The sequence below is a fragment of the Homo sapiens genome, chromosome X (genome assembly GCF_000001405.40).
Source record: "Homo sapiens chromosome X, GRCh38.p14 Primary Assembly".
Classification (NCBI taxonomy): domain Eukaryota; kingdom Metazoa; phylum Chordata; class Mammalia; order Primates; family Hominidae; genus Homo; species Homo sapiens.
Genome location: NC_000023.11, coordinates 102,459,995 through 102,462,542, shown reverse-complemented (window position 1 = coordinate 102,462,542; position 2,548 = coordinate 102,459,995). Strand labels below are relative to the sequence as shown.

General features: G+C 46.4%; 1 protein-coding gene across 2 annotated transcripts in view; it reads left to right on the top strand.

The window, feature by feature from the left end:
- The window catches only part of TCP11X2 (t-complex 11 family, X-linked 2), an 11,498-nt gene extending 9,270 nt beyond the window's left edge, over positions 1–2,228 (top strand). For both annotated transcript variants that reach the window (NM_001405027.1, NM_001277423.2), the window contains exons 9-10: positions 460–623; positions 1,798–2,228. In NM_001405027.1, the coding sequence (NP_001391956.1) occupies positions 460–623; positions 1,798–2,030 (397 nt within the window). In that variant the 3' untranslated portion in view covers positions 2,031–2,228. The remainder of the gene's footprint in view (positions 1–459; positions 624–1,797) is intronic.
- Positions 2,229–2,548: the final 320 nt, after the last annotated feature.

The following is a 2,548-nucleotide window of genomic DNA, read 5'->3' as shown; positions in this document are numbered from 1 at the left end:
GTTGATCGGTTGGTCAGTGATATTGACCATTCACTGCATGTGGGGGCAGGGATATTATACCAAAGTACAAGGAGGAGTAGGAAGTCCAAGCCTCTTAATATATTAGCAATTTAATTGGTGGGGTAGGAGAAAAACCATGAAAAATATCCAATAGAGTCTTAAAACAACATTTAAATACAGTTGATGGGACTGGAGAATGCCGAGTAGATCCAAGGATGGAACTGAACCCTTGCCCAATTTACTTTGTTTTCATCGAAGTGGCATATGGTGCTGTGTGTTTGGATCAGGTGGTACCTTGCGGGTAACAATGAGTGTATTTCATCTGCCCAGTGGCTAATGCTGTCTTCTGGTGGCAGAGAGCCAGAATTCTTCCTGGAATAGGCCTGGCTTGTGGTATGAGGCTCTCTGGGCTTTGCCCCTCTGCCAGGCCCACTCTGCATTCTATCCCTTATTATCTAGGCCTGAAGAGACTATGCTGAGTGTGAGTGAACAGGTGTCTCAGGAAGTCCATCAAGGCCTTAAGGACATGGGCCTCACTACTCTGAGCAGTGAAAACACAGCATCTCTTCTAGGCCAACTCCAGAACATCACCAAGAAAGAGAACTGCATTCGTAGCATTGTTGGTAAGAATCTCCATGGTCGTCGTGCAGAAAAGTGGCAAGAATGTGGGGCATGGGTGGGTAGACCTTACCCTGAATGTGAGTTACCTAAGCATTTAAAAATGAAAAGGCATGATCATTTGGGAAGTTTTTTAGCTTTAGTTTCCTCGTCTATAATGTGCACTGTTCAAATAGATCTTTCTCAATTTGGAGAATGCATGTATGGTTTGAAGACAGCTCTGTACCCAAGATATGTCATTCACAGGTGTTGGATATTATCACGCTAACCCTATGAAGTCATTCCTGGTATTTTCTCTTTTCTTTTCTTTTCTTTTTTTTGAGACAAAGTCTCACTCTGTTGCCCAAGTTGGAGTGCAGTGACACGATCTAGGCTCACTGCAACCTCCACCTTCTGAGTTCAAGCGATTCTACTGCCTCAGCCTCCCGAGTAGCTGGGACTACAGGCACGCGCCACCATGCCTGGCTATTTTTTTTTGTATTTTTAGTAGAGATGGGGTTTCACCATGTTGGCCAGGCTGGTCTCGAACTCCTGACCTCGTGATCCGCCTGCCTCGGACTCCCAAAGTGCTGGGATTACATACGTGAGCCACCACGCCCAGCCCATTCCTGGTCATATTCTAAATGTCGGCCAAGATATATGGAGGAACCCTTTCTCTATCCTATGCTTTAAGCTACCATTTGGGCCCCTACGCCTCTCCATGGAAGTGATGCTGAGTTGGGCTGTAGGACATGTTCCATGCTGGAATGGAAGCAGTGAACTTGGCCAGCTTGCTTTGAACTTTACCATCTGATCATAGCCTGGATTGGGTGTATGGGCCTGAACTTGGTGCACTGGCTGCAACATGTGTTGTTACTTTCAGGTACCGGGTCTACGGTCCTCTTGTTAAGTTAAACGTGCCCTAGGATCTCACATACAGCTACATAAAGTAATCTTATGAACCCCCAGAAATTTACTACCTCAGCATCTTTTGATCATGCATTGTCCTTTGGGAGATTGATGGCATTCCATTCCCCCAAACAAACAAAAATCTCATGTATACGGTTTACCCAAATGAGCAGAGAGGTCAGTGAATAACTCGGTTAATGCAAAACTTTGGTGAGCAGATAGAGCAAAGGCATTGTGAATTTCTTCTGTACCGTCTTCGTTCCTCTTGTCATTGTTTTTCCCTGCTCACAGATCAGTGGATCCGTTTTTTTCTCAAATGCTGTTTGCTTCATGGCATGCAGGAGTCTCTGCTACACTTTCCTGGAGGCCTCATTCTCATTGAAAAGGAGTTGGCAGAACTGGGCTGGAAGTTTCTCAATCTGATGCATCATAATCAGCAGGTATTTGGCCCATACTATGCTGAGATCCTAAAACACATCATCCATCCAGCTCAAGCACAAGAAACAGATGTGGAGCCTAACTGATAGTGCTGGACCCCAGCTATGGCAACAGGGACTCAGGAGAGAGAGGTCAGCATGTTTCTGGGAGGACATCACCTGTGGTTAGTCGAACAGTCAGCCCTCTTCCTCGCTATAGCCAGGACACAGGGATGCAGGGGTCAAGCATGTAAGCACCAACTGGCCCAATCCCCTTCACTAATAAACCTCTGAGCTGCAAGAAAATTTCAGTTCCTCCTGTGTTCTAGCTGAAGTCAGGTTCTGCAGCCTCATCCCCTAACTAGCTGAGTGAGAATCCAGTGGGCCCTCTGTTTTCCCTTCATTGGCTGATCATTCTTCAGTATGCTTGCCTGAGCCGAATCTGGGCATCAGGTACTGATAAGGGAAAATCCTGGGACTGTATAGAATAATGCCCCCTGAAAACTGGGAAGGAGCTAAGAGACCAAAGAATGACCCGGACAAGTCCGGCTTGATAAGCAGATGAATTTCTTGGGACTTACGTATAGGGCATTCCTGGGTGGCAGCAGGACAGCTCTGGGGATCTG